General features: G+C 37.8%; 1 protein-coding gene, 1 long non-coding RNA gene and 1 pseudogene across 5 annotated transcripts in view, besides 5 other annotated features; 2 read left to right on the top strand and 1 right to left on the bottom strand.

The window, feature by feature from the left end:
* NPHP3-ACAD11 (NPHP3-ACAD11 readthrough (NMD candidate)) overlaps window positions 1–26953 on the top strand; it is a 164322-nt gene that overhangs the window by 71063 nt on the left and 66306 nt on the right. The window contains exons 27-34 of the long non-coding RNA NR_037804.1: window positions 6506–6600; window positions 8595–8720; window positions 9264–9425; window positions 11741–11905; window positions 19918–20056; window positions 20839–20960; window positions 22951–23057; window positions 24580–24706. This is a non-coding gene — a long non-coding RNA (NPHP3-ACAD11 readthrough (NMD candidate)). The remainder of the gene's footprint in view (window positions 1–6505; window positions 6601–8594; window positions 8721–9263; window positions 9426–11740; window positions 11906–19917; window positions 20057–20838; window positions 20961–22950; window positions 23058–24579; window positions 24707–26953) is intronic.
* Window positions 1–26953, top strand: part of ACAD11 (acyl-CoA dehydrogenase family member 11) — a 101669-nt gene that overhangs the window by 8413 nt on the left and 66303 nt on the right. For all 4 annotated transcript variants that reach the window (NR_132428.2, NR_132427.2, NR_132426.2 and 1 more), the window contains exons 2-9: window positions 6501–6600; window positions 8595–8720; window positions 9264–9425; window positions 11741–11905; window positions 19918–20056; window positions 20839–20960; window positions 22951–23057; window positions 24580–24706. Coding sequence is in view for 1 of the 4 variants with exons in the window: in NM_032169.5 (NP_115545.3) it covers window positions 6501–6600; window positions 8595–8720; window positions 9264–9425; window positions 11741–11905; window positions 19918–20056; window positions 20839–20960; window positions 22951–23057; window positions 24580–24706 (1048 nt within the window). In the remaining 3 variants the exon portion in view is untranslated. The remainder of the gene's footprint in view (window positions 1–6500; window positions 6601–8594; window positions 8721–9263; window positions 9426–11740; window positions 11906–19917; window positions 20057–20838; window positions 20961–22950; window positions 23058–24579; window positions 24707–26953) is intronic.
* HSPA8P19 (heat shock protein family A (Hsp70) member pseudogene 19) lies at window positions 1003–4276 on the bottom strand (annotated as a pseudogene).
* Window positions 9947–10137: a silencer, noted in NCBI's record as "fragment chr3:132360104-132360294 (GRCh37/hg19 assembly coordinates)". NCBI's record gives its function as "represses an EF-1alpha promoter that drives an FKBP-Casp9 reporter gene in an ReSE screen in HepG2 liver carcinoma cells {active_cell/tissue: HepG2}" and the evidence as "EXISTENCE:reporter gene assay evidence [ECO:0000049][PMID:32094911]".
* Window positions 20284–21483: an enhancer, noted in NCBI's record as "P300/CBP strongly-dependent group 1 enhancer chr3:132348758-132349957 (GRCh37/hg19 assembly coordinates)". NCBI's record gives its function as "activates an origin of replication core promoter dependent on BRD2, BRD4, P300/CBP, MED14 and CDK7 cofactors, with strong dependence on P300/CBP, by STARR-seq in HCT116 cells {active_cell/tissue: HCT116}" and the evidence as "EXISTENCE:reporter gene assay evidence [ECO:0000049][PMID:35650434]".
* Window positions 23721–24220: an enhancer, noted in NCBI's record as "H3K4me1 hESC enhancer chr3:132346021-132346520 (GRCh37/hg19 assembly coordinates)". NCBI's record gives its function as "activates a minimal SCP1, AML or CMV promoter by ChIP-STARR-seq in naive H9 embryonic stem cells {active_cell/tissue: H9 hESC(naive)}" and the evidence as "EXISTENCE:reporter gene assay evidence [ECO:0000049][PMID:30033119]".
* Window positions 24221–24722: an enhancer, noted in NCBI's record as "H3K4me1 hESC enhancer chr3:132345519-132346020 (GRCh37/hg19 assembly coordinates)". NCBI's record gives its function as "activates a minimal SCP1, AML or CMV promoter by ChIP-STARR-seq in naive H9 embryonic stem cells {active_cell/tissue: H9 hESC(naive)}" and the evidence as "EXISTENCE:reporter gene assay evidence [ECO:0000049][PMID:30033119]".
* Window positions 25638–25687: a silencer, noted in NCBI's record as "silent region_14742". NCBI's record gives its function as "represses an Ori minimal core promoter by ATAC-STARR-seq in GM12878 lymphoblastoid cells {active_cell/tissue: GM12878}" and the evidence as "EXISTENCE:reporter gene assay evidence [ECO:0000049][PMID:35858748]".

Genomic DNA, 26953 nt, shown 5'->3' with positions numbered 1-26953 from the left:
TGTTAAAAGGGACATCTGTGTAGATTTTGAAATCAGTAATTAAGACAGGAGTAGTGTTAATGAGAGTAATAGTGAATTATGCCAAGATCCTTAAGAAATGAGGAGAAATGATCTGAGAGTTAGTAGGTGACTGCAAGAAAAAGGGGTAGAGGGTGGCAGAGTCTCATGGCCTGAGATTCAAAGCTGAGGGAAGAATTTACACAGGAGGGAGAGCAAAGAGTCTGGAAGTAGCAATGAGTTTCAGGAAGGATACAGACTCCATCCAGGCTTACTAGAAGACTGATGTGGGAAAAACATCTACCACTTAAGAAGCCTACAAAGGAAACAGGATCCTCATGGAATATTCAGGTTTTAGTTAGAGCAAGGAGGTGAAGGGTCTATTCAGAGAAGATATTGAAGCTGTATGGAATTGTGAAAGACTGTGAGTTCCAGGGGCACAGTGGAAGGATATCAGGAGTTGAGGGGGTGGAGAAGATGTGGGAGAAAATAGGGAATGTGCAGAGCCTTATGGGAATTACAATGCAGTAAACAAGTATAAAAGGGGAATTTGGGACTTCTGGTATTGATGATATAAAGAGGGATAAAGAACACAATGAAACCAGTTCCGGTGGTCTCAAGGTAGTAGTGCTGTCAGTGATAGGAAATGGGAAGTTGTAGGTATGTATTGGGGCTGGGGAGGGACAGTCTTACACTAAGTTAAGTAGTCTGGACTCACTGTTTTTCTTATTTTTTTAGTGATGCCAACTTTAAAAGCCTTTGTCCTCTATCATGAATTGTACTTTCTACCTATTTATCATGTGGATAAAGTGCAACTGTATTTCCTTACCCTGTGTATATTCAGATATTCAAAATGTCTAATAATATATGAAATAGCAGCCCAAGTATGATTTTTTAAAAAAACTGTCACTAAACTGACTTCCTACAAATCAGAGTAGGATTTCATGACTGTGTGTTCATGTTCAAACTTCATGTTGAGTTTTGGTTGCCTTATTCTGTTTCTGTAGTCATGGTTCCAGAAGACACACCTCTAGAGGATGGGCAACCACTTCTAGGGAAGTCCCTAGCAAAGCACCTAGCATGGTGCTAGCTCTGTTACACTGTGATAACGGCAGGGTTTTTACCCTCTCCAGCTCTTTTGGCTGATGTTAAATTCTTCCTTCTCAGTAATGAGATTCTTGACCAGTCATTGATGACTCCATTGCACTTGTCAGGAGTCTTGTGTTTGACTTCATCTTTGATTCTGCTTTGCCGTCTCTCATTTTTCACTGTGGCCTATTGAATACATAGGATCTGAGCAACTTCTTACAAGAAACTCTGTCTCTTTGTTTCTCGTTTTCCAGCTTTGTACTTCTATGCCTCTTGGACCAAATACTCAGTGTTTCCATGGGCAAACACTGGGTCATTTGTCTTTTAATCTTCTTTTTTCCTGATCTCTTATCAACAGCAAACACATTTGAGATGCTGTTGGCATCAATATAAAAAGTTATTTAAATTTGTGGAAATCCAAAGGGTTTAGGAGGAATGCCCGTGAGTTCAAATTTGCCGGGCTGGTTGTTATCCTTCATCATTGCTCACTCAATTTTGTAAACCTTAATGAGCAAACCTGAAGGGGGCCAGCCCCTCCACACCTGTGGGTATTTCTAGTCAGTCTGGACAAGAGACTGAGAAAAGAAATAAGACACAGAGACAAAGTATATAGAAAGAAAAGTGGGCCCAGGGGACCGGCGCTCAGCATACGGAGGACCTTCACCAGCACCAGTCTCTGAGTTCCCTCAGTATTTATTAATTACTGTTTTCACTGTCTCAGCAAGAGCAATGTGGCAGGACAGCAGGGTGATAGTGGGGAGAAGGTCAGCAAGAAAACATGTGAGCAAAGGAATCTGTGTCACAAATAAGTTCAAGGGAAGGTACTATGCCTAGATGTGCACGTAGGCCAGATTTATGCTTTTCTCCACCCAAACATCTCAGTAGAGTAAAGAGTAACAGAGCAGCATTGCTGCCAACATGTCTCACCTCCCACCACAGGGTGGCTTTTCTCCTATCCCAGAATTAAACAAATGTACAATTGGGTTTTATACCGAGACATTCAGTTCCCAGGGGCAGGCAGGAGACAGTGGCCTTCCTGTATCTCCACTGCAAGAGGCTTTCCTCTTTTACTAATCCTCCTCAGCACAGACCCCCTACGGGTGTCGGGCTGGGGGACGGTCAGGTCTTTCCCATCTCACGGGGCCATATTTCAGACTATCACATGGGGAGAAACCTTGGACAATACCTGGCTTTCCAGGGCAGAGGTCCCTGCGGCTTTCCGCAGTGCATTGTGCCCCTGGTTTATCGAGACTGGAGAATGGTGATGACTTTTACCAAGCATACTGCCTGCCTGTAAACATTTTGTTAACAAGGCACATCTTGCACAGCCCTAGATCCCTTAAACCTTGATTCCATACAACACATGTTTCTGTGAGCTCAAGATTGGGGCAAAGTTACAGATTAACAGCATCTCAAGGCAAAGCAATTGTTCAGGGTACAGGTCAAAATGGAGTTTCTTTTGTCTTCCCTTTCTACATAGACACAGTAACAGTCTGATCTCTCTTTTCCCTACACAAACCAAACTGGTTGTCAGAGTAGATAGTTAGTGAAGGTCTGAGTCTGTTCAGTGGTTTTATTAAACGCACTTGGTCAGAATAGTCATGATTCCACTAGTCATGATTTCCACCAAAGGAAAAGGAGTAAAATTAAAAAGCAGCAAATCCTAAATATTTTCAAATCTCTGCACAAGGGATAAGTGGCTTCCTGGATATCCACAAACACAACTGATTCCCTTATCAGGGCCTATGCTTTTTTTTTTTTCCAGTTCCTTTCTGTTAAAAAATTCCTATAGGAATTTCTGAGTTTCTAAAGCTTAGAGATGCAGGTAGATGCACCCTCTAGGATGATGCCATGAGTCTGAGACTTGTTAACCGTGATATAAATAAAGGGTTAAAAATCTTTTCTCCTGCTCTATGGATAAATTTATTTAATTTTCTAGCTCTGTAATTCTGAAAACTTGGTAAAGGTGGCATATCAGATGTGTTTCCAGGCAACATTGCTTATGGTAAAAATAACATCTAATTAGTAAACTGCATCTGAACTGGAAGGTCTGTAAATGAACTGTTTAAGTATCTGGTGGAAAGGCATAGCTTTGGGCTTCCCTAAGTGTAGAGGGTTCTTTCAACTAGTTATGTCCTTTGCTAGGGCCCTGGAAGCTGGTGCCAAAAGACTGCTACTACAGATAATGGCTTCTGTAGGGCATGAGGCTTTACTATGATCTAAATGTTTGTGTCCCTCAAAAATTCATATGTTGAAATCCTTACTCCTAAGGTAATGATATTAAGAGGTGGGGGGTCTTTGGGAGATGATTAGATCATGAGTACAGTGACCTCAAGAATGGGATTAGTGTTATAAAAGAGACCCCAAAGAACTGCCTTGCCCCTTCCACCATGTGAGGAAAGAGCAAGAATGTGCCATCTATAAGAAAGTGGGTCCTCACCAGACACTGAATCTGCTGGTGCCTTGATTTTTGACTTCCCAGGCCCCAAAAATGTGAGAAATAAATATCTGTTGTTTATAAGCTACCCAGTCTATGGTATTTCATAATAGCAGTCTGAATAGACTACCAGCCTAAATAGACTAAGACTTCTAAATCAAGGTGGTACCCATACTCACCCATTTCCTGATCTCATTCCCTCTCACCTGAGCTGTCACCAAGGGGGAATGGGGGCATGGAGTAAACCCTGGACTGCTGCAAGGGGTCTGCTGAAGAAACTCATCTGATGCTGCCATGCCAGCATCCTGTTTTTCCTGTCTGTTTATGCTTCTAAGGGAACCAATGCTATGGATGGCTTAGTAGGGTCTCGTGAGATTGTCTGTTTAAAGTCTTCTCTAACCAAGTAAGTGTCCATGGCTGCACACTTACATGCAAAGATTTTCTATTTGTTAATGGAGGTTAGACACATCAAAAGTACCATCTCTTAGGTTATAGATCAACACATTTCTCTCAGCACCAAATATCTTGTCCAAGAACTAACCAATAGTTCTGACTATTGGTTCAATGATGATTCTTATATTGAGACCATCAATGGTTCTAGGCTATTTGGAGGCCTGATGGTTGGAGTAGTTAAATTTAGCAAGTACTGTATTGACAGTGTTGACAATGATCCTCCCATGCAAATGGGCTTCTGCAATTTTTTTTTGTCTTTGTTATAACCACTTTAGATACTTCCTCAAAAGAGAAACTTTTAATTGTTTTTGTTTGTTTTTGAGAAATTCATGTAACGTAACATTTAAAAATTTAACCGTTTTAAAGTGTACAAGTCAGTTGTTTTCCATATATTCACAATGTTATACAACCATCACCACTATCTAGTTCTAAAACATTTCCATCGCCCCCAAAGAAACCTCATAGTTCCCAATTTTTTCCTCCCCCATCCCTGGCTGCTACTAATCTACTTTCTGTCACTATGGATTTCCCTATCCTGGACATTTCATAGACATGGAATCACATAATATGTAGTCTTTTGTGACTAGCTTCTTTCACTTAACATAATATTTTCAAGATTCATCCATGTTGTAGCATGGATCGGCATTTTATTCCTGTATATTGCCAAACAATAATCCATTGTATAGATATACCACATTTTGTTTATCCTTTTGTCTGCAGACGGATATTTGAGCTGTTTCTAATTTTTGGCTGTTGTGAATTGTACTGCTGTGAACATTCATGTACAAGTTTTTGTGTTAATTTTATGTGTTCAGTTCTCTTGGATATATATGTAGAAGCAGACTTGCTGGGTCACTCTATCTTCAACAAGAAGCTTTTAGTTTTTTCTTTGTATTTCATTTGGGTCATTTACTATCATGAAAGACCAGTGCTTTATATAAGACTAGAGAACTGCCTCATCAAAAATGCATCCAATCAGATGTTTGGCATTTTTTAAAAAATGTGTTTGTAAGATTCATTGTTGCCAGACGTGATGGCTCACGCCTGTAATCCCAGCACTTTGGGAGGCCCAGGCAGGCGGATCACAAGCCTCATCAAAAATGCATCCAATCAGATGTTTGGCATTTTTTAAAAAATGTGTTTGTGAGATTCGTTGTTGCCAGACGCGGTGGCTCACTCCTGTAATCCCAGCACTTTGGGAGGCCCAGGCGGGCGGATCACGAGGTCAAGAGATCGAGACCACGGTGAAACCCCGTCTCTACTAAAAATACAAAAAATTAGCCGGGTGCGGTGGCGGGCGCCTGTAGTCCCAGCTACTGCGGAGGCTGAGGCAGGAGAATGGTGTGAACCCGGGAGGCAGAGCTTGCAGTGAGCCGAGATCGCGCCACTCCAGCCTGGGCGACAGAGCGAGACTCCGTCTCAAAAAAAAAAAAAAAAAGATTCGTTGCAATTGATGGTTTGCAGCATCAAAGATAAATTGTTCTATATCAATAAAGACAGCATAGCCTGTGGTGGTCCTATTTCCTGACCACTGGTGATTATCTCTACCTTCCTATGGTAAAAGGCACTCACTCAGGATTAGATGGTACCAAAACCAGTGCTCCTTGATATGATTGCCAGGGAGGATGGGTCTGATTTATAGAAGACATAGACACTGGGGCTGCTGCCAGACTCAATCTAGGCTCATGCTTGTTTTTTCCTGATGGAGGTTGGAGTCCTGGGAAGAAGCTCCAAAGATTTTTTTTTCTACTTTCTCCTATTACCTATTACCTTAAGGATTGATTCTTCTGTTTATTTAATTTAGGATCTCTCCTTTATACAGTTGGATTCTTCAAAAGTTGGGCGATTCTTAAATGCCCATATTATAAGTGAAGGAATAGACTGAATAGTTTTGGTAGCTGAAGTGTCTATCCTTAGTTTAGGTGAGAATTTCTGTTCATCTGGCAGGGAAAGTCAATGCCCTGGTGTCTGTGAGTTAGTTGGGCCAGCATTGCACTTCCCTGGGCCAGATGCTCACTGTGGGACCTCACTTCTCAGAACTCCCATTGTAGAGAGCTCAACTCACGCACTAGCCTTGTTGACACTTATGAGGGTTATCTCTCTAAAGGCAGATGAGGGGGCATTAAGCCAGCTGTTCCTGCATCTTTTAATTCATTTTCTGACTGATAACTAACAATCTCTTCTCAGATTGTTTATTTACTTAGATCAGTCATTGTTCTACAAGTTTACTTAGATCAGTCATTGTTCTACAGGTACTCCTGATAAAACTTAGGATTTGCAGTCAGGAAGTGGGGTCCTCTCTTCTACCTCTGTGAGTCACAGATTCTCCAGCTGCCAGTATGTTGCCATCTGCTTTAATATCATCTAGAAATTCATGTTGTGAGCTGCTGATAGCACCCCTCTTGATTTTCCAGCATTGAGATGAATTTATTTTCATTTGTTTCTTCTGACATTTCAGTAGGATTTGGGGATGACGGAAAACATATCTTTGTAATTGACCTTTTTTTTTTTTACTTTTATCTAGAGCAGGAAAGTCCAATCCAACCTTTTATCTCCAGAAGGGCTTTCAAACATATGTGCTCAGGAAAAAACCACCAGGTTCACTTCTTCCTAAAGCACATCAGGTATAGTATACAAATGTAATGATAAATTCTTTGGTGACAAATAAATGCTTTTAATACACACAAAGCCAATTTACTTTTAAAAGGCATCTTATGATTGCCAAATAATATAAAATATATTTTATTTCTAATGAAAATTTCCCTTGAATTATATCTTTTTTTGTTTTAAAAAATTATTTGAGGTTGAAATGTAAGTCTATCTTTAGGCTATTAATCTTGAACAACACCCAGTTCTTTTGTGTATTTGATTTTCCTCTACGTTGTTTGCTAGAAGTAAAATCAGCCAATGAATATTTTCAGTGCTACTCATCTGTAGATATTTTGTTTTGTTATATATTTAAATTATTATATGTAATAGTATCTACTCAGAATTATTTTAATATATTTGCTATGACAATCCTCTAATCTTTTGGTGATAAAAAGAAAGATTTGAATAAGTATTTTATAGTACTCTCTAAATATTAGACAGTGAGAATTCTAAAAGATTTTTGTTGAAAACTAGGTTTTTCTGTCTTGAGAAAACAGGTATTATCTATGGATTTTCAGAGAACAGGAGGGGACAGAAATCAAAGCACTGGGGAACATTAAAAGCACTGTGCGTATTTAGGGTATAGCCGTAATCATGTACAGCAGGTGCTTCCCAGGCCCAGGTCACTGGGGAAGGACAATTGTGGGGTAGGCTTAATACCACAGTAATAGAGAATGTAGATTCTATGGGACTTTCTTGGTCCCATATCATATTCCCAGAAACATGAAGTAAGTTGGATGCTTAAGATAAAAAAAAGTTGGGTAACTTTTATTAAATATCGATATAGTATGGCTGAAGGAAAATCCCCACCCGTGCCCCAATAAACAGTTTTATTTGTCTCTTTTCTTGATAACATCCCACCTGAACACACCAGAACAGGGCATAATGCTCTCAGCCCAAGTACAGCTGCCAAGGATCTGGAGTACTCTGTTTCAACTCCCTTCTGTTTTCTCAACTCTGCATTGAAAAAAGCAATGCTCCAGCTCTGTGATCCACTTTTTGCTTCTCTAACCCTTTTGCCCTCTCCCCCTTACCCCCTCCCCCTCGTTTCCCAACACCTGAGTGGTTAACACTTCTTTCCACAGCCCTTGGTACTGCTGGCTGCTCTCACCTTGAACATGGGTTTCGTTACTTTCCTCTTCCAGTTATTGCCACAGCCCCTGCTTTACTTCCTGATGTCAAAATGAGCTGCATAGCTTCCCCTCCTTAGAATGGTCAGTCACCATTGCCTGAGTCTGGGGCCAGGTGACTACATGTAGATAAGCCATCCTTACTTGGCCTGCATCAACAGCTCTGCCCTTGGGTCCTGAGTGATAGCCTGTGCATCTGTCCTAATTAAGGAAGCCATTTTTTCCTCACTGTCTTATTTAGGCTCCAGTTTGCTTCTAGCTGCCTACTTTCCTGCTAGTTATCTTGAGCTCCACAGCAGTCCTGAGTGCCAGGAAAGATCCCCATGCCCCTGCCCTGGAAACACATGCCTCCCTTGCTCTCCAGAAGGAGCAGGTACTTTTCCTTCCACCACCACTCACCTCTCACCCCCAGCTCTTTGTAGCTGACTGTGGCAGAGTGCTAGAATAGAGACTTACCTGAGCTTCCTTGGAAGACATGAAAGAGCGAGCAGCCAGCCAGGGAACTGCTGTGGAAAAAGGGATGTTTTATGATAAAATATGTGAAATATTGTGAACAGTAACTATTGCCTTCACATTATCAGAGCCAGGATTAAGTCTCATGCAGGTGCTCATCTTCTTATCCTAATTAAATTACATTTTTTAGTAGTGGTCTAATTTATAATCATAGTGATTACACCAAGATTACTATTAGGGAAGTTATTACTATTATCCTCTGGAGTTTGTGTTGATACTGTTTTACAGTTGTTTTCTAGCCTTAAGATTAGCTCATAAGTAGTTATTAAATTTAATTACAATTAAATCAGTTTCTCTGATTTTTAATGATTCATCATCCTATTTAGATTGATAGAGAATTTAAAGTCCAGAAAGCCTTGTTTTCAATTGGATTCCCCGTTCCCAAGCCTATACTGTACTGCAGTGATACTTCTGTCATTGGAACAGAATTTTACGTAATGGAACATGTGCAGGTAAATTAACACTTAATCTTATTTTGTTGCTTTTACTTTTAATTATGAAGTTAATTAAGATGTTTTATTATGATACTTAATAAATGATATAGTTTGTTATTTAACATTTTAGGTAATTAGATTGCATTGCAAAGGTTTACAATTTTGTTCAAATTTGAGCACTTACAAAGGGAGGGATGGAATAGACAAGAAACAAATTTAGTAATTAGGGGGTATTGACTTATTCTTAAATTTTCCTCTAGGTGTCAGTAAAGAGCTATCTGTAATGGCAATAACCAAATTGTCCATAAGGTAGCAGGGAAAACAGACTCCACATAGGTCAAGCCATTAAGAACAATAAATTCAAAATGTGTTTTAAATTTTTTCTGTAAAATAGTTGAGAGTAGTTTTGATGTTTATATTCATCTTGGCATATCCTTTTATTTTCCCTTTGGCATGTATACTCTAATATTAAATATGTTTCACAAATGAATGTTTTTCTAGTATATTCGACAAAGTATTGATTATACACATTTAAATAATCTGTTGTAATCACTTCCATAGGGTCGAATCTTCCGTGATTTAACAATTCCTGGACTTAGCCCAGCAGAACGTTCAGCCATATATGTGGCCACGGTAGAAACATTGGCTCAGTTACATTCCTTGAATATACAGTCACTGCAGCTGGAAGGATATGGTATAGGTGCTGGGTACTGCAAAAGACAGGTAATGCATCCACATTAATAGCTATTTTTTTCAAGTTCTTGTAAATAATATACCTTATTAGTCAACAAAAAAAGCTATTATTGTATAGTTTTCTGAAGCTTGGCCATGACTTTTAACATTGTCCTTCAGAATGACTAGTTTTTAGTATAAAATTATCTTATGTTTTTATATTAGGTTTTGTTCAGCAAAATCTTCTGTTTTAGACTCTTAATTTTCCAATACTTTTAACTATACAGTTTTTTCTTCTTCTTCTTCTTCTTCTTCTTCTTCTTCCTCTTCCTCTTCCTCTTCCTCTTCCTCTTCTTCCTCCTCTTCTTCCTCCTCTTCTTCCTCTTCTTCCTCCTCTTCTTCCTCCTCTTCTTCCTCCTCTTCTTCTTCTTCTTCTTCTTCTTCTTCTTCTTCTTCTTCTTCATCATCATCATCATTTTGAGACAGAGTCTCCCTCTGTTGCCCAGGCTGGAGTGCAGTGGTGCAATCTCTGCTCACTGCAAGCTCCACCTCCCAGGTTCACGCCATTCTCCTACCTCAGCCTCCCGAGCAGCTGGGACTACAGGCTCCCGCCATCACGCCCTGCTAATTTTTTTGTATTTTTAGTAGACATGGGGTTTCACCGTGTTAGCCAGGATGGTCTCAATCTCCTGACCTCGTGATCCGCCCGCCTCAGCCTCCCAAAGTGCTGGAATTACAGGCGTGAGCCACCATGCCCGGCTTACAGTTTTTTCTTTCTCAATTGGACTAGCAGACATTTATTAAGCTTGACTGTGTGTTTAATACCTGCTGAGTACTGTGTTAAATATCAAGAAAAATATACAATAGGTTCTTCCCCACAGGAACTTATGGTCATTTTTGAGAGACCTGTACATGCATGTCATTCACGAAACCTGAAAATGGTATAAAAGAGTGTAAAATCTAGTGGTAAATTGTTTGATACTCACCATGATTCAAAGGGTGGAAGTTGGGATGCCCTTGCTTATATAGAGAAAGCTTCCTGGGAGAGATATCTTATAATGAGTATTTAAGGAAAGATAAAATTTGGAGTGATGGAGATCATTTTAAATTAAAGGAAAGCAATACTAGATATATATGGGGCTGCTTTCCTTTGTAAGCATATCATTTTGTGGGGGTTAAGGAAGAGAAAAGGGAACTAAAGTTTAGAGTGTACTCACTATATGCTAGGTCCTACATGGCAGAGTGAGTTGTCGGCCTCTCTTTTTTGATCTTTACAACAACTCTAAGATATAGGTATTATTACTCCCATTTTGCAGATGAAGAAAGGGAGGCTTGCATCAATCAAGTAATACACAAGTAAGTGGCTTAGATATAATTTAAACCCAGGTTGATATGACTAGATAAGACCAAGTAAAGGTCTTTGCTCTATTGCACTAAGTTGAGCAAAGATACCTCGGGAAATGGAGATAAAAAAGCAAATAAACAATATGGTCCCACCTGTTGGAGGACTTTACGAGTAAGTTGATTTGTTTGCATTCAATTCTAAGAACAATAGAAGATCTTTACACTATTCATACCTGTAAAATATTTAGAAAATTCTGTGGGTAATAAGAAAGAGTATTAAAATGAAAAGTAGGCTGGGCGCGGTGGCTGAAGCTTGTAATCCCAGGACTTTGGAAGGCCAAGGCAGGCGGATCACGAAGTCAGGAGTTCGAGACCAGCTTGACCAATATGGTGAAACTCCGTCTCTACTAAAAATACAAAAATTAGCTGGGTGTGGTGGTATGCATCTGTAATCCCAGCTACTTAGGAGGCTGAGGCAGGAGAATCACTTGAACCTGGGAGGTGGAGGTAGCACTCCAGCCTGGGCAACAGAGCGAGACTCTGTCTCAAAAAAAAAAAAAGTAAATGTCTTCTTTTTTCTTCTAGTCCCCATATTCCCTTTTTCAGGGGTTACTTATTTCTCGTGACCCTTTCCAGAGATTATCTATGCCTATATATTTGTGTGTGTGTGTGTGTGTGTGAGAGAGAGTGTGTGTGTGCGTGTGTGTGTTTGTATGCATTCTTTTTTTTTCTTCTACAAAGTAGTTGCTGAATAAAGACTAGAACCCATATCTCTTGATCCCTAGGCCAGTATTTTTCTCTTGATAAAAAACTAGGTAAGTAAAATGGAACTATATGGAAAAGAGACTTAAATGTTTAAGGTTTAGGCTGATTTGAGTGTTTTAGGATGACAGGAGTATCACCAGCATGGGTCTTAAGTATTTAGGAGTAAAACAGCATTTGAATTTTGTTTTAATTTTAGAATTGCTAGATCCTACATTCCAGTTTCAGCTTTACCATTTTTCTTATTTATATGTCTTTAGGTATCAACCTGGACAAAGCAATATCAAGCTGCAGCTCATCAGGACATCCCTGCCATGCAACAGCTATCGGAGTGGCTAATGAAGAACTTGCCCGATAATGACAATGAAGAGAATTTGATTCATGGAGATTTCAGACTAGATAACATAGTTTTCCACCCTAAAGAGGTACAGTTAGCTATGTTTACAATTAATTGAGTAGGTCTGTTTTGTGACACAGTACTAAGTAAATGCTCCCCCCAGAGCACTGAGGGAGCCCAACCCACTCCCTGTTCCCCTACAGCTCAGGACTGTCGTCACCACTCAAAATTTTTAGAAAGGAGTCCTGCAGATTTTCCAGCATAAGTTAGCTGCCTACCTTTGAGACTGGTTCTAATCCCAAGTGGTATCTGGTTTACTGCTTAAAAGGATTTGGGAATTTTACATGCATGATGCTGTTTTCTTCAAATAAGTTTTCATCTACTAGTTACAATATTTAGCTTATCCATGTTCTTGCTGTTTTTTCTGGTTCATTTATACTTCTTTGGGGTTTTTAGCCCTATCTCATGAAGAATTTATTATTTGTTTATTATAAACTCTGAGAATAGAGAATTCCAAAAGCTTCTTGAGGCTTCAAAAGAATTACATGAGATTAATATAACCTTGCTCAATGTAAATGTGCATACTGTATTCTTTATAAAGAGTATAAACAAATGAAAGCTGTAATCCTCCACTGAGCACCTACAATGAGGCCTAGGATTACAGTATAGTAGGAATGAATCCTGCTTCTGAGAGGAGGATTTTCTGGGTTCATTAGTTTCTTAGAATGCTAAGATGTTTTAGGGCAGGAAGAGCTAGTGGCACTGATGAATTCTGAATTCTAACCTTGTTAATTATCTACCCTGAGATTAGAAAAATTAAATATGCTAATTTATAATCTAGATAATTATAAAAGCATATGCCTGAAAACATAGCAGGATCTGGCCTGTATTTGATCTGTGTCATTTAATTAATATTTTAGTCGAGTCTACATAATATTGAGTCTCTATAGTAGATAACAAATTAGAACCCACTAGACTTGGAGTTCCTTTAAAACAATGACTGTATCTTATTCATCTTTATATTGCAGGTGCTTATATGATTCTGATGAATCTATGTTGAAGGGATTAATTTTAGTTAATTATTCACTAGCAACTATTTCCATCTCATAAATTTATGCTTAACTTTCATTCCCTAGCAGTGTGAACTTAAAGCATGTTATTCAATCTCTCTCTGTGCCTCTATTTTTATTTTAACTTTTTGTTTTGAAATAATTAGAGTCCCCAAAAAAGTTGTAACAGTGTTATAGTACAGAGAAGTCCTGTGTATCCATCATCCAAATTCTGCAAAATGGATATTATACAACTATGGTACATTATCAAAGCCAGGAAATTGACATTGTGTACCTTTTAAAATTGAAAAAAAAAATTCTGAGTTGCTGGGCAGCTAAAATGAAACAGTCAATGTGGAGCAACTAGCTGGTACCTGGCACATCAATGATGCTCAGTTTATTTCAGGTACCCTCATTTTTCCATTTTTTCCCCTTCATTTTTCTCTCTGACTTTTCTTAGACTACTTGTCAAGCTTCTTCAGAAAAATATTAGGGTATAAGTAAATGCTTCATAATATGTACGAAAACCTAAACAGTGGTTGTAGGGGATAGAATTATAGGAGACATAATTGTACATTTCTGTAATGTTTAGGGTTTGATGTTTTTTGGTTTTTATTTTTAAAACAACAGCATGTTTAATTTTTGTCATCAGAAAACACAACAATTAAGAAAGAAGAATAAACAATTTTAAATGACAAACCTTCCAGGAATGTGTGGAGTAAGCCAGTAAAGGAAACTACAGGATATGGCAAAACGAAATTATTTTCTGTTACTTATTTACAAAGTATTTAAAGCATGTTTGGGCAAGTATTTCAGTAGCACAATAGGCTCACTGCAATGTTGAAAAGAAATCCAGTTTTCCTGGAAAATGTTGATTTTCCAAATATAAATTTTACCAGTAGAGAAATGTTTAAGATCTTGGAGTTTAATGTAAAATCTGCATATTGTCATTTCAACTTGAAAAATATATTTAATTAGAAACATCCATTGGAACTTGTCAACTTCAGTGATCTAGAAATTGAAACCCCTTATTTTTGACCTCACCCTCTTTACCTTCTGTTCTTTTATTTCTCTGCATCTTCCCTGAGACACTGCAAATTTGATTGCTGTTAATTTAGAATCCATAAGCCCTTCATGACTTCACTTGACTTCTTATCCTACATAAGCCACATGGTCATAATCAGTCATCTCAAAAACTACCTTTAGTATCAATTTCATTAATAATTTTTTGACTATAGATGTATGCAAGTAATGTAAGAATTATAAAGTGTCCTGACCTTAGGTTACTTATTATTCTAGAATCTTCCCACCCTGACTTTATATCATCATTATTATTATTATTTTACTTTTTATTTTTTCTAATAACCCTACAGGGGATGTCCATCACCCCTTGACTTTAACCAGTTTCTAGCCCTAAACTTGAATCCTCATATTTTTGCTGCAGAATAAAGTCGTGAAGTAAGGTTAATTGGATCTGGGACATTTTTATGCCACATGATTTTATCTAGGCTGTAACTTCATCTCTTAGTAAAACCTGTGACATTTAAAAAATGGCTTTTCTAAATCTTTTCCCTTCTTCTCAAACTCTCACATTTCTTGTCCCATCTCGGTTCCCACTCTCAGCATGTGGTCTTGTCTTCTACCTAACTCATCTTTGTCCTTTCAGTCATTTTCCAGCATAGCCTGCTTTCTAGGAATTACACCATGCCCCTCAAAGTTCTCTTTATATTGTTGAAGACATTTTCGTCCGCTACACAATATCACCTGTATGCAGATTGATGGGTGATATTTTTCTTTAGCCTCATTGCCAAGAAAATTTGTCCCTCTTGAGCAGCTGGTTTGTTTTTGACCTGCATACACTATAAAGATTGTGACTGACCATGCTTCACACTTTATTTTACCCGCTATAAAATTCAAAGCAAATTTTACTACCCACACTAACAACTATGCATGTCCTATCACATTCAATTATGTGTAATAACCTTACTCCTAGCTTCATCTTTTCATTACAAATTCTATTATTTTCTTCCCTGCCTTCTTCATCTACTGTTTGTTCTGTTGGATTGTATGTATTTTTTGTTTGTTTCGAATGCCAATACACATACATATTAATAAAATTCAATGGTGTAAAAAGTATACATAAAATGAATCTCTTTATAAAGAAGATAATTTAAAAAACTAAAAGCTTTCTGTTGAGCTGAGGTTTCAGAAAAACTATCAAAAATAATTTTACTAATAAGTTCCCTAGCAGCAGTAAGACGAACTAGTAAATGTCCAGATCAACCACTAAAAGTTATGTTGAGCTTTTAATAACTCTCAACACAAACAGGCATCAACAGGACTCTAATTAGCTATTGCTAATTAATTTGCACTAATTTATGCAATTTGATGAGCCATCAGCTTTTCTCACTGGCTGTTGTTTTATAGCTTTGTGTTTTTACCCCAAAAATGGTTCAGATATTCTGAAAAGTAACTCCAGAGAAGTTTCCCAATTGTATTAAAAAAGAAAAGTAATCATTTATAGCATAAGTAAGTGCCTCATCTTTACTTTGGATGTTAAAAGCATAGATAACAAATAGAATGATGTAAGAGAAAAATGCATCCATCCTCTTCAGTAGTTTCACAAATCTAGCTAGTATAGTAATTTATAATACTTATAATATTATAAATTTATAGTATAATATAACCACAATAAAAGCTCTTATAAAGTCATAGAGAAAGGAGTGATCAATTTTTTTCCACAGTAACAATGGCAAAGTTTTGATTGCCTTGCTATATATGCCAAGCTCTGAACATATTCATCAAATAAATACATATTGGCCATCTGTTGTGTGCCAGGTTCTTTGCTAGAAACTCATACATGAACTATATGTGCTACCCGCCCATTTAATCTTCAAACTAACCCTGTGTAAGAGGTGTATATTATGGCTGAGAAAATTGAGGATTAGAGAGGTTAACTAACTTGTCCAGAGTTATACAGCCAGCAAATGGTAGAGCTAGGGTCTGAATACAGGCCTGTCTGATTCCAAAGCCCATATTTCCACACAAAGCTACAAGAATGTGTGTAAGTTTGCCAGAGGAGCAAGGGAGTGCAAGCACACACAGTTATATGGAGGCATGAAACCCAGTAACTCATATTACCCAAATGGGGTCTGCAGTTTTATGTAGCTTGGATAACTTGCCTAGAGTATTGCTGCAGCTGCCTCACTGCCCACCCCCCATAGTATATTGAAATCATAGTAGCCAGAGTGACCCTCTTAAAATACAGATCATGTCATATCACTCCTATATATAGAACCCTCCAGTGAAGGTTCCCCTCTCTGGACCTCATCCATCCTGCCTTAATCCCTTAAAGTAACCACAGCCATTTCTGTTAGTTTGGTGCAATACCTTTTCAACTTTGAGTATTCATTTATAATCTTTTTCTTTATTTTTTTATTTTTTTATTATTTTTATTTTATATATATTTATTTTTTATTGTACTTTAAGTTCTAGGGTACATGTGCACAGCGTGCAGGTTTGTTACGTATGTATACATGTGCCATGTTGGTGTGCTGCACCCATTAACTCGTCATTTAGCATTAGGTATCTCTCCTAATGCTATCCCTCCCCACCCCCCCACCCCACAACAGGCCCCAGTGTGTGATGTTCCCCTTCCTGTGTCCAAGTGTTCTCATTGTTCAATTCCCACCTATGAGTGAGAACATGTGGTGTTTGGTTTTTTGTCCTTGCGATAGTTTGCTGAAAATGATGGTTTCCAGCTTCATCCATGTCCCTGCAAAGACATGAACTCATCATTTTTTATGGCTGCATAGTATTCCATAGTGTATATGTGCCACATTTTCTTAATCCAGTCTATCATTATTGGATATTTGGGTTGGTTCCGAGTCTTTGCTATTGTGAGTAGTGCCGCAATAAACATACGTGTGCATGTGTCTTTATAGCAGCATGATTTATACTCCTTTGGGTATATACCCAGTAATGGGATGGCTGGGTCAAATGGTATTTCTAGTTCTAGATCCCTGAGGAATCGCCACACTGACTTCCACAATGGTTGAACTAGTTTACAGTCCCACCAACAGTGTAAAAGTGTTCCTATTTCTCCACATCCTCTCCAGCACCTGTTGTTTCCTGACTTTTTAATGATCGCCATTCTAACTGGTGTGAGATGGTATCTCACTGTGGTTTTGATTTGCATTTCTCTGATAGCCAGTGATGATGAGCATTTTTTCATGTGTCTTTTGGCTGCATAAATGTCTTCTTTTGAGAAGTGTCTGTTCATATCGTTCACCCACTTGTTGATGGGGTTGTTTGTTTTTTTCTTGTAAATTTGTTTGAGTTCATTGTAGATTCTGGATATTAGCCCTTTGTCAGATAGGTAGATTGCACATGTTCTCCCATTTTGTAGGTTGCCTGTTCACTCTGATGGTAGTTTCTTTTGCTGTGCAGAAGCTCTTTAGTTTAATTAGATCCTATTTGTCAATTTTGGCTTTTGTTGCCATTGCTTTTGGTGTTTTAGACATGAAGTCCTTGCCCATGCCTATGTCCTGAATGGTATTGCCTAGGTTTTCTTCTAGGGTTTTTATGGTTTTAGGTCTAACATGTAAGTCTTTAATCCATCTTGAATTAATTTTTGTATAAGGTGTAAGGAAGGGATCCAGTTTCAGCTTTCTACATATGGCTAGCCAGTTTTCCCAGCACCATTTATTAAATAGGGAATCCTTTCCCCATTTCTTGTTTTTGTCAGGTTTGTCAGAGATCAGATAGTTGTAGATGTGTGGTATTATTTCCGAGGGCTCTGTTCTGTTCCATTGGTCTATTACTCTGTTTTAGTACCAGTACCATGCTGTTTTGGTTACTGTAGCCTTGTAGGAGCTGGTACCATTCCTTCTGAAACTATTCCAATCAATACAAAAAGAGGGAATCCTCCCTAACTCATTTTATGAGGCCAGCATCATCCTGATACCAAAGCCTGGCAGAGACACAACAAAAAAAGAGAATTTTAGACCAATATCCCTAATGAACATCGATGCAAAAATCCTCAATAAAATACTGGCAAACGGAATCCAGCAGCACATCAAAAAGCTTATCCACCATGACCAAGTGGGCTTCATCCCTGGGATGCAAGGCTGGTTCAACATACGCAAATCAGTAAACATAATCCAGCATAGAAACAGAACCAAAGACAAAAACCACATGATTATCTCAAGAGATGCAGAAAAGGCTTTAGACAAAATTCAACAACCCTTCATGCTAAAAACTCTCAATAAATTAGGTATCGATGGGACGTATCTCAAAATAATAAGAGCTATCTATGACAAACCCACAGCCAATATCATACTGAATGGACAAAAACTGGAAGCATTCACTTTGAAAACTGGCACAAGATAGGGATGCCCTCTCTCACCACTCCTATTCAACATAGTGTTGGAAGTTCTGGCCAGGCAATCAGGCAGGAGAAAGAAATAAAGGGTATTCAATTAGGAAAAGAGGAAGTCAAATTGTCCCTGTTTGCAGATGACATGACTGTATATCTAGAAAACGCTGTCGTCTCAGCCCAAAATCTCCTTAAGCTGATAAGCAACTTCAGCAAAGTCTCAGGATACAAAATCAATGTGCAAAAATCACAAGCATTCATATATACCAATAACAGACAGAGAGCCAAATCATGAGTGAACTCCCATTCACAATTGCTTCAAAGAGAATAAAATACCTAGGAATCCAACTTACAAGGGATGTGAAGGATCTCTTCAAGGAGAACTACAAACCACTGCTCAATGAAATAAAAGAGGACACAAACAAATGGAAGAACATTCCATGCTCATGGATAGGAAGAATCAATATTGTGAAAATGGCCATACTGCCCAAGGTAATTTATAGATTCAATGCCATCCCCATCAAGCTACCAATGACTTTCTTCACAGAATTGGAAAAAACTGCTTTAAAGTTCATATGGAACCAAGAAAGAGCCCGCATTGCCAAGTCAATTCTAAGCCAAAAGAACAAAGCTGGAGGCATCATGCTACCTGACTTCAAACTATAATCTTTTTCTTTAAGCATAAATTGGATCATACGCTATATACTATTCTACAAATTGATTTTTTGGCCATATGTACAGCCAAATGAACATAAGAAATGAACAAAAGAATGTCCTGTATTCTTAATATGAAGATATATATTCCCTTTGGGCGGCCAAGGCGGGCGGATCATGAGGTCAGGAGGTCGAGACCATCCTGGCGAACATGGTGAAACCCTGTCTCTAGTAAAAATACAAAAAAAATTAGCCGGGCGTGGTGGCGAGCACCTGTAGTCCCAGCTATTCGGGAGGCTGAGGCAGGAGAATGGTGTGAACCCGGGAGGCGGAGCTTGCAGTGAGCAGAGATCGCGCCACTGCACTCCAGCCTGGGAGACAGAGCGAGACTCCGTCTCAAAAAAAAAAAAAAATACATATATATATATTCCCTTGATACATACTGTTACAAGGTAGAATGAGGGAAGCTTTCTGTTTTATTGGTTCCACATTACATGATTGTTTTATGTTGCTATATAATGGTGGATTTTATATTTATAAAACTAACAGTATCTTTTATAACAATTATGCTTTGTATCTACAACATGAAATAACTTTTAAAAGTACCATGGATGGAGTAGTACATTTGTTATACAGTTAGATTAATTACTAAAGTAAATGTTTAATGATGCATAACATGGATTATTAAAATATAAGTAATTCACTATAATTCCTTTTTATCACAATTACTTCCAGTTGAGAAGTTTTAACTGCTTTTGCATCTGCTCATTAGCAGAGATATTAAGGCTGTGTAAAGTAAAATGAGAAGGACTGATGGCCAGCGATGGAACCAGAGGACTTAGCTCTATATAATCAAGGCTAATTGGCTATTTTATAAATGAGATATGCCACTGTGGGTAAAGACCTGAAATTGACTTTTGATGGAAAACATGATTTTGAATGTGTTCAATGTTATTTATTTCTTTATTATACTTGTTTTAAGTTTTAATGTGTTACAGACCTCTTTATTTTTAATTACAGTGTCGAGTTATAGCAGTGCTGGATTGGGAGCTGTCAACCATTGGTCATCCTTTGTCAGACTTAGCTCATTTTTCCCTGTTCTACTTTTGGCCAAGGACAGTTCCAATGATAAATCAAGGTTCTTATAGTGAAAACTCAGGTATAAAAACATAATGTTGTCTAAATTGCTATTAATATAAAACTGTCTTTATTACTTTCATAATTAAAATATAAATCTTGCAATTTTAGATAATAGTTTTTGTTTCTTAAACATTTCTATTTTATTATGATTTTTATTTTTATTTTATTTTTTTGTTGAAGATAATTCTTTTTTTTAATTTATTTTTATTATACTTTAAGTTTTAGGGTACATGTGCACAACGTGCACGTTTTTTACACATGTATACATGGGCCATGTTGGTGTTTTTTAGATGCAAGGTCTTGCTCTGTCACCCGGGCTGGAGTACAGTGCCACAATCATAGCTCACTGAAACCTTGAACTCCTGGGCTCAAGTGATTCTCCCACTTCAGCCTTCTGAGTAGCTAGGACTACAGGCACACACCACCATGCCCAGCTAATTTTTTTATTTTTTGTAGAGATGGTGTCTCACTATGTTACCCAGGCTAGTTTTAAGCTCCTGCTGTCAAGTGATCCTCGGCCCCCGCAAAGTGCTAGGATTATAGGCATGAGCCATCGTGACTGGCCTATTTCATTTTCTTCGTTAAATTTTCTGAACTTAGCATGCCACTTTTAGTAATTTACGACCAAATATAATCCTTTGTATATAATAATCTTTTGGAAATCAAGATTTAGAACATGTTTTGTTGTAAGGGCTAATGGTTATTACATTCCGTTTTACATATGCGTCTCAGTCTCATAACATTTTGAAATATTCACCACGACATTTTAATTAAAGTTTATATTACATGCTGTTTTTATAGGGATACCATCAATGGAAGAACTGATTTCAATATATTGCCGCTGCAGGGGAATTAATTCTATTCTTCCTAACTGGAATTTCTTTCTTGCCCTTTCATATTTTAAGATGGCTGGAATAGCACAGGTAATTAATTGTTTTAAACGTGTGTTTCGCCATTATTTACCAGTGTACTGTTGACAATGTTTTCCAGTCTTCCGGGTTTTATATTCTTTATCCTTAGATCATTTGGCTTATCATAATGACAGGTATCAGACATAGGTAAAATATAAATCCAGAATTTACAGAATAGGAATTTGGCAAGGAAAAAATTTGAGTAGCAAAATGTATTATCAGTTTTTTGTATAATAAACTTACAAGATGGATGGAGGAAGAATGACATAATGTTAAAAAGGATTAGTAAGGATTAGTCATTTCCTGAATATCCAGTGTGAGAAAAAGCTAAAATCTTTTGATGATCTCTGCCTCAGACTATGAAACCATTTATTAGTTAGGGTTGATGATGAGGGAAGAATTATCTTTATACTTCCCAGAGGCTAGCACAGTATCTAGTATACAGTAACCTCTTAAAATGTTTTTGAGTAAGTAGATGAGTAAGATTTTTTTATTTTCATCGTCATATTTGTGTGATTAATTTTGAAAGATAATAGAGCATAAATTTAGGGTTTTTTTCTAATTACATTGTAATCTAAACAAATGGCTTCTTCTTTATACTAATCCAGTTTTCAGGCACTTTGAATCTTGGAGATTTAAGAAATTGAGATGCTTCATCAATAGCAAGGGGCTAGGGTTTAGAAGAAAAACAGGTAAATAAGTTTAGAAGTGAAAAATAATGGGAAAAGAAGGATTAAGGAAAATTATGATAATTTATTTTCTGTCCTCAGAGTTCATGCTATCCATGAACAACTGAAATAGTTGTGTTACATCTCATCTTGTACCCTGAGTTAATCATGTTAAAAGAATGGGTTTCTCAAAATGGGTATGTCTCTGTGTTTGACAGTTTCCACAAATAAGATACCAAATAGGCTTTAAATTTGAAATGGCTTTTCATTTCCAATAAAAGTTTGACATGGATTATGATTGACATTAAAATGTACAACATAGGCCAGGCACGGTGGCTCACGCCTGTAATCCCAGCACTTTGGGAGGCCGAGGTGGGTGGATCACCTGAGGTCAGGAGTTCGAGACCAGCCTGGCCAACATGGTGAAACCCCGTATCTACTAAAAATAAAAAATTAGCCAGGTGTGGCGGCATGTGGGCCTGTAGTCCCAGCTACTCAGGAGGCTGAGGCAGGAGAATTGCTTGAACCTGGGAGGTGGAGGTTGCACTGAGCTGAGATCATGCCACTGCACTCCAGCCTGGGCGACAGAGTGAGGCTCCATCTCAAAAAAATAATGTACAACATAAACTATATATACTGTACATGTAGTAGCTTTGGAGATGGTCATAAACATTCCAATCTAATTGGAAATATAAAATTGAATATGATGGAAGAACTATTACAGTGTTTTATTTATTACAGTGTTTTATTATATAAGGAATTATATAAAGAAGACACAGTGATGTTTGTTTTTAGGGAAGAGGAAGGAGTTTATTATGTTGAAAGTACAGAAATGGAGAATTATCAAAGAAACACTGATTAGCATTCAACTAACACTGTTTGAAAGAGACAGTTTTACCTGCATTAGGGACCCAAAAATGAGATAAAATGTTCTTAGAGATCGTCTCATTGTCTTCCTTTTGATTTTATAGTTTTTTAAATCTTATTTTTGTTTCTTTAGATTTTCCCCCATTATGAAGGAGGGTAGTGATCTTTAGAGGTGAAATAACTTGCAGACTTGGTATCTTTGGTAACTGCTGAGATCATTTGCAAGTTTGATTTGATTATAAATTAGAATTATGTTAGGATGAGAGTATGTGAACTGTATGATATGAGTATGACTCTTTAGAAGGGTGTAATTACCCCTGCATGTACATTAATATCGTCGATAGTCTGTTTTACGTCTTCATACCCTGTGAGTATAATGTCACATATAACTGAGAAACTGGAAAGATTGATTGGATTGTTGAAGGACGGTTTTCAATGAATTTTAATTGTTCTATGTTTATTTATAGGGAGTATATAGCAGATATCTTCTGGGAAATAATTCATCTGAGGATAGCTTTTTATTTGCCAATATTGTGCAACCTCTGGCAGAAACTGGACTACAACTCTCCAAACGGTAAGGAAAACAGATTCCTTGGCTAACTCAAATTAGAGCCTTTATTGGGTATGTGAAGGTTATACACTTTAGGGGAGTAGGGATTATTTTTATTGCATACACCAGGATTGCTGCTGCCAATCACAATAGATTTTTGGTAAATCTCTTCTATGCCTAAAAACAAATTGACCTAAAATATAAAGAAAATCTCCGTATTTAGGTTTAAAAGTATTTTTGTGCCACTTGATTGTGTAAATGTTTAAGGATATAGATAAAACTCTCAAGTGTTTCTTTCTAATATTTAAGTCACTTACATATATCTAATTTTAAAAATGCATTATATAAGATGATTTATTAATTTAGAAATATTGTTCTTTTCCACTGTTACATTTCATGAAGTTATATTCAGACATTTCATAAGCATCTTTGAAACCCATGTCTTCATCAGCAGAGCACTTTTTCAGGCATCGAACACACTTTGCCAGTTTCATTCCCATTGCTTACCAGATGCATGTGTGATGCTGTCCCAGAAATTCTGCTTAACCCACAAGTACCCATGGCATAATGTTAGGACAATTGCTTTTTTCCAATTTATCTTATAGATGGGTATTTGTTCTCTCTACACCATAACAATTGATTCTGTTGTGCTTCATAATGACCTTTACAGGTCTTCTTTATTTTATTTTAATTTATTTTAAGTTCCGGGATAAATGTGCAGAGCCTGCAGGTTTGTTACATAGGTATGTATGTGCCATGGTGGTTTGTTCAACTCCCGCTTACGAGTGAGAGCATGCAGTGTTTGGTTTTCTGTTCTACAGATCTAATATTCAGCAGCTATATTTGTGAGGCATATATTAATAGTAAGAATAATGATTATTTGTGTTCAATTCAACTTCTTTGCTTTTTCTTCTGGAGATTCTGACGGGTGACTTCAATAAAGATTCAAAACTAATGAAGCGGGATTTTTTGCTCCTTAGTTCAGCTAAAATCCAGGTTCTCGTCTCACAGGAAAAATTAGGCACACAGACACATTAAAGGATGAGGAGGGCCGATTTATTAAGCGAAAAGAAAGCTCTCAGCAAAGAAAGGGGGGGTCCTGCCAACAGGCGCCCACCTCACACATTGAATACCAGGCTACCACACTTGAGCTAAAGAGGCCAGGCTCCTCCCCTTGCATAAGGCGCGAATTCCCGGTGGCTCCACCCCATTCCCCCAGTGTGCAGGCAGGCCCCCAGTCCATTGTGGGCATGTCCAGACAAGACCCTGTGCCTCCTGCATCTATCACTAACATTGCTTGAGGTGATGCCAGGCCTATATGTTTTCCCCAAATAGTGCTTTAAGCATTAAAGTTAAATGTTTAAAATGGAAGTGATTCTGCATTCAGTCCATAATATGGAAGACTTTTTTAAAATATAAAATACAGCTACTCCTTCTGGGGGATGTTTTTTGGGTAGCTGAGGAAACTTCACATTATATTAGAAATATGTAATAATGATCTTTGGACATCTTTGTAACCTTTTTTTCCTTTTTTCTTTTGGCAAAGAACTTTCAGTACTGTACTACCACAGATTGATACTACTGGACAGTTGTTTGTACAGACTCGGAAAGGTCAGGAAGTTCTTATTAAGGTGAAGCATTTCATGAAACAACACATTCTTCCAGCTGAAAAGGTGAGTATTATATAAGCAGAATGTATTTCTGCTAAAGGACTATCAATGAATACTTTTGTTATTTCTGCTTATAGGAGAAGCATGGTGTCATTTTCTTTAGTCAATCCTTACCTAGATTCTTCTTCTCACCTTAGAACTAAGCCACGATAGAACAAAGGGAATGCACAGATAAGTCTGTGGCATTAAAATTAAGCCAAAGAGAATTAGTAGTTTTAACATTGGGAGCCTAACTATGTTAGAGTAAAACACTACTTTGGGGGCCTTGTCCTAAGGCAGTAAGTTTCAGCTTTTTTTTTTTTGTAAATATGGACCCCTTTGAGAATTTAATGAGAAGTGTAGACTATACAAGATGGACACACCTAGAGAATTTTACATATCATTTCAAGCTGTTCACAGATACTACCACCCCTCTTCCTATAAGCTACTATTTTAAGGCATTAAGTTTCAATAAGTTCACTGAGAGTAGAGAGGCAATATGGAACATTCATTCATTCAGTTACCAAATAATTATTGGGTACTTGATGATGCTTAGGCACCTGGAAAGCTACAGAATGTAAATAGATAATAAGACATACAGGGCTTATGCTCATGTGAAGCTTAGACTTTAGCAGGAAAGGAAGACACTAAATAAGAGATGATAAATGTTGTGAAGAAAAGATAAAAGCTTTTACAAAAATATGTAAGGGAGTTGGGGCAGGCTGTTTATATGTGGGTAGAACACTGGTGTAGAAATGCTAATGGCTTTATTCTAGTCTATCCCTGTCACAAGTTTGGTGGCCTTGTGTTAGATGGTCTTGCGTGGCCTCAGTTTTTTCCTCTACAATGTGAGTAGGTATGACTAAATATATAACACATTCTCATTTTAATCATCTATGATTCTGAGAGGTCTACAGCTAGCCTGGTAAAATCAAATAGGGAACTGAAAGAGACCAAAATCCTTTTAACAGAAATGTTCAGAGCTGATATGTGTTTGTAGGACAGTTTGTGCTGTTGCTTGAATTATATAAATAATTATTATATTTTTAGTAAATATCTGGCTTGAGATTAACTTTGCTCACAGAATAGGGTATAATTTCTTTAAAAAATACTACTTAAAGTGAGGAAATTCTTTCTAAAATAGTCACCTCTCACATGTGTTTAGTGACTGAAGTATCTTGAATATTTTCTGATCTAGTTAGTGTTTGTTCAATTCTGATTTTTAAAACTGTGAACTCTTGAGTATTAAAAAGGGAATGCAACACTTTTAGGTTAAGATAGCAGTGTGAATTCAACATTGTCCTCCCCTCCCTCAAATAAAATCCAATTTAATAAATAATAAGTTTTTTTATAAAATGGAATAAATTGGTATAAGCTTGAAAACAGAAGAGGGACATATCAGAGGAATTAAGGTTTTGAAAAGAGAATGGAAATTAGATTTGGAAAGCAGAATGGATTAGCCCCTAGAATAATCTAACAATAGAAGCCATATCTCAGAAGAAGTTTGAAAGAAGTCTGTAGCACAAGTGGTAACCATTTTCCCACAGTGGAGTCCACTGTGATTGGCTTATATAGAAAGCAAAAATGAGAAGAGGAAAAGAAATCAAGATGTTTGATTTAAGAATTACCTGCAGGTGGACGACTGCTTCGGTTGGTCTCTTATAACCTGTTATAGCAATGGTGTTTGCCCCCAGGCAGAAGGCTGCAACAGCACTCCAAAAAATGCAAATGGACCAGTGTGCTGGCTCAAGCCTGTAATCCCGGCACTGTGGGAGGGCGAGGTTGGTGGATGGCTTGAGCCCAGGAGTTTGAGACCAGCCTGGGCAACATGGCATAAACCCAATCTCTACTAAAAATACAAAAATTAGCCCGGCGTGCTGCACACCTATAGTCCCAGCTACTCGGGAGGCTGAGGTGGGAGGATTGCTTGAACCTGGGAGGCAGAGGTTGCAGGGAGCCGAGATTGCGCCACTGCACTCCAGCCTGGGCAACAGTGAGACCCTGTCTCAACAACGACAAAAAAGCAAATGATCTGTTTCAAAGAAGCCAGGGCTTCAACATGAGATTTAGTGCCCTAGAGGAGGGTCCTCCATGTTTTGGCTTTTTTTTTTTAATGGAGTCTTGCTCTGTTGCCCAGGCTGGAGTGCAGTGGCACCATCTCGGCCCACTGCAACCTCCGCCTCCTGGGTTCAAGCGATTCTTCTGCCTCAGCCTCCCAAGTAGCTGGGACTACAGGTGCCTGCCACCAAGCCTGGCTAATTTTTGTATTTT

The sequence above is a fragment of the Homo sapiens genome, chromosome 3 (assembly GCF_000001405.40).
Source record: "Homo sapiens chromosome 3, GRCh38.p14 Primary Assembly".
Lineage (NCBI taxonomy): Eukaryota > Metazoa > Chordata > Mammalia > Primates > Hominidae > Homo > Homo sapiens.
This window is presented reverse-complemented; position numbering and strand designations above follow the sequence as displayed.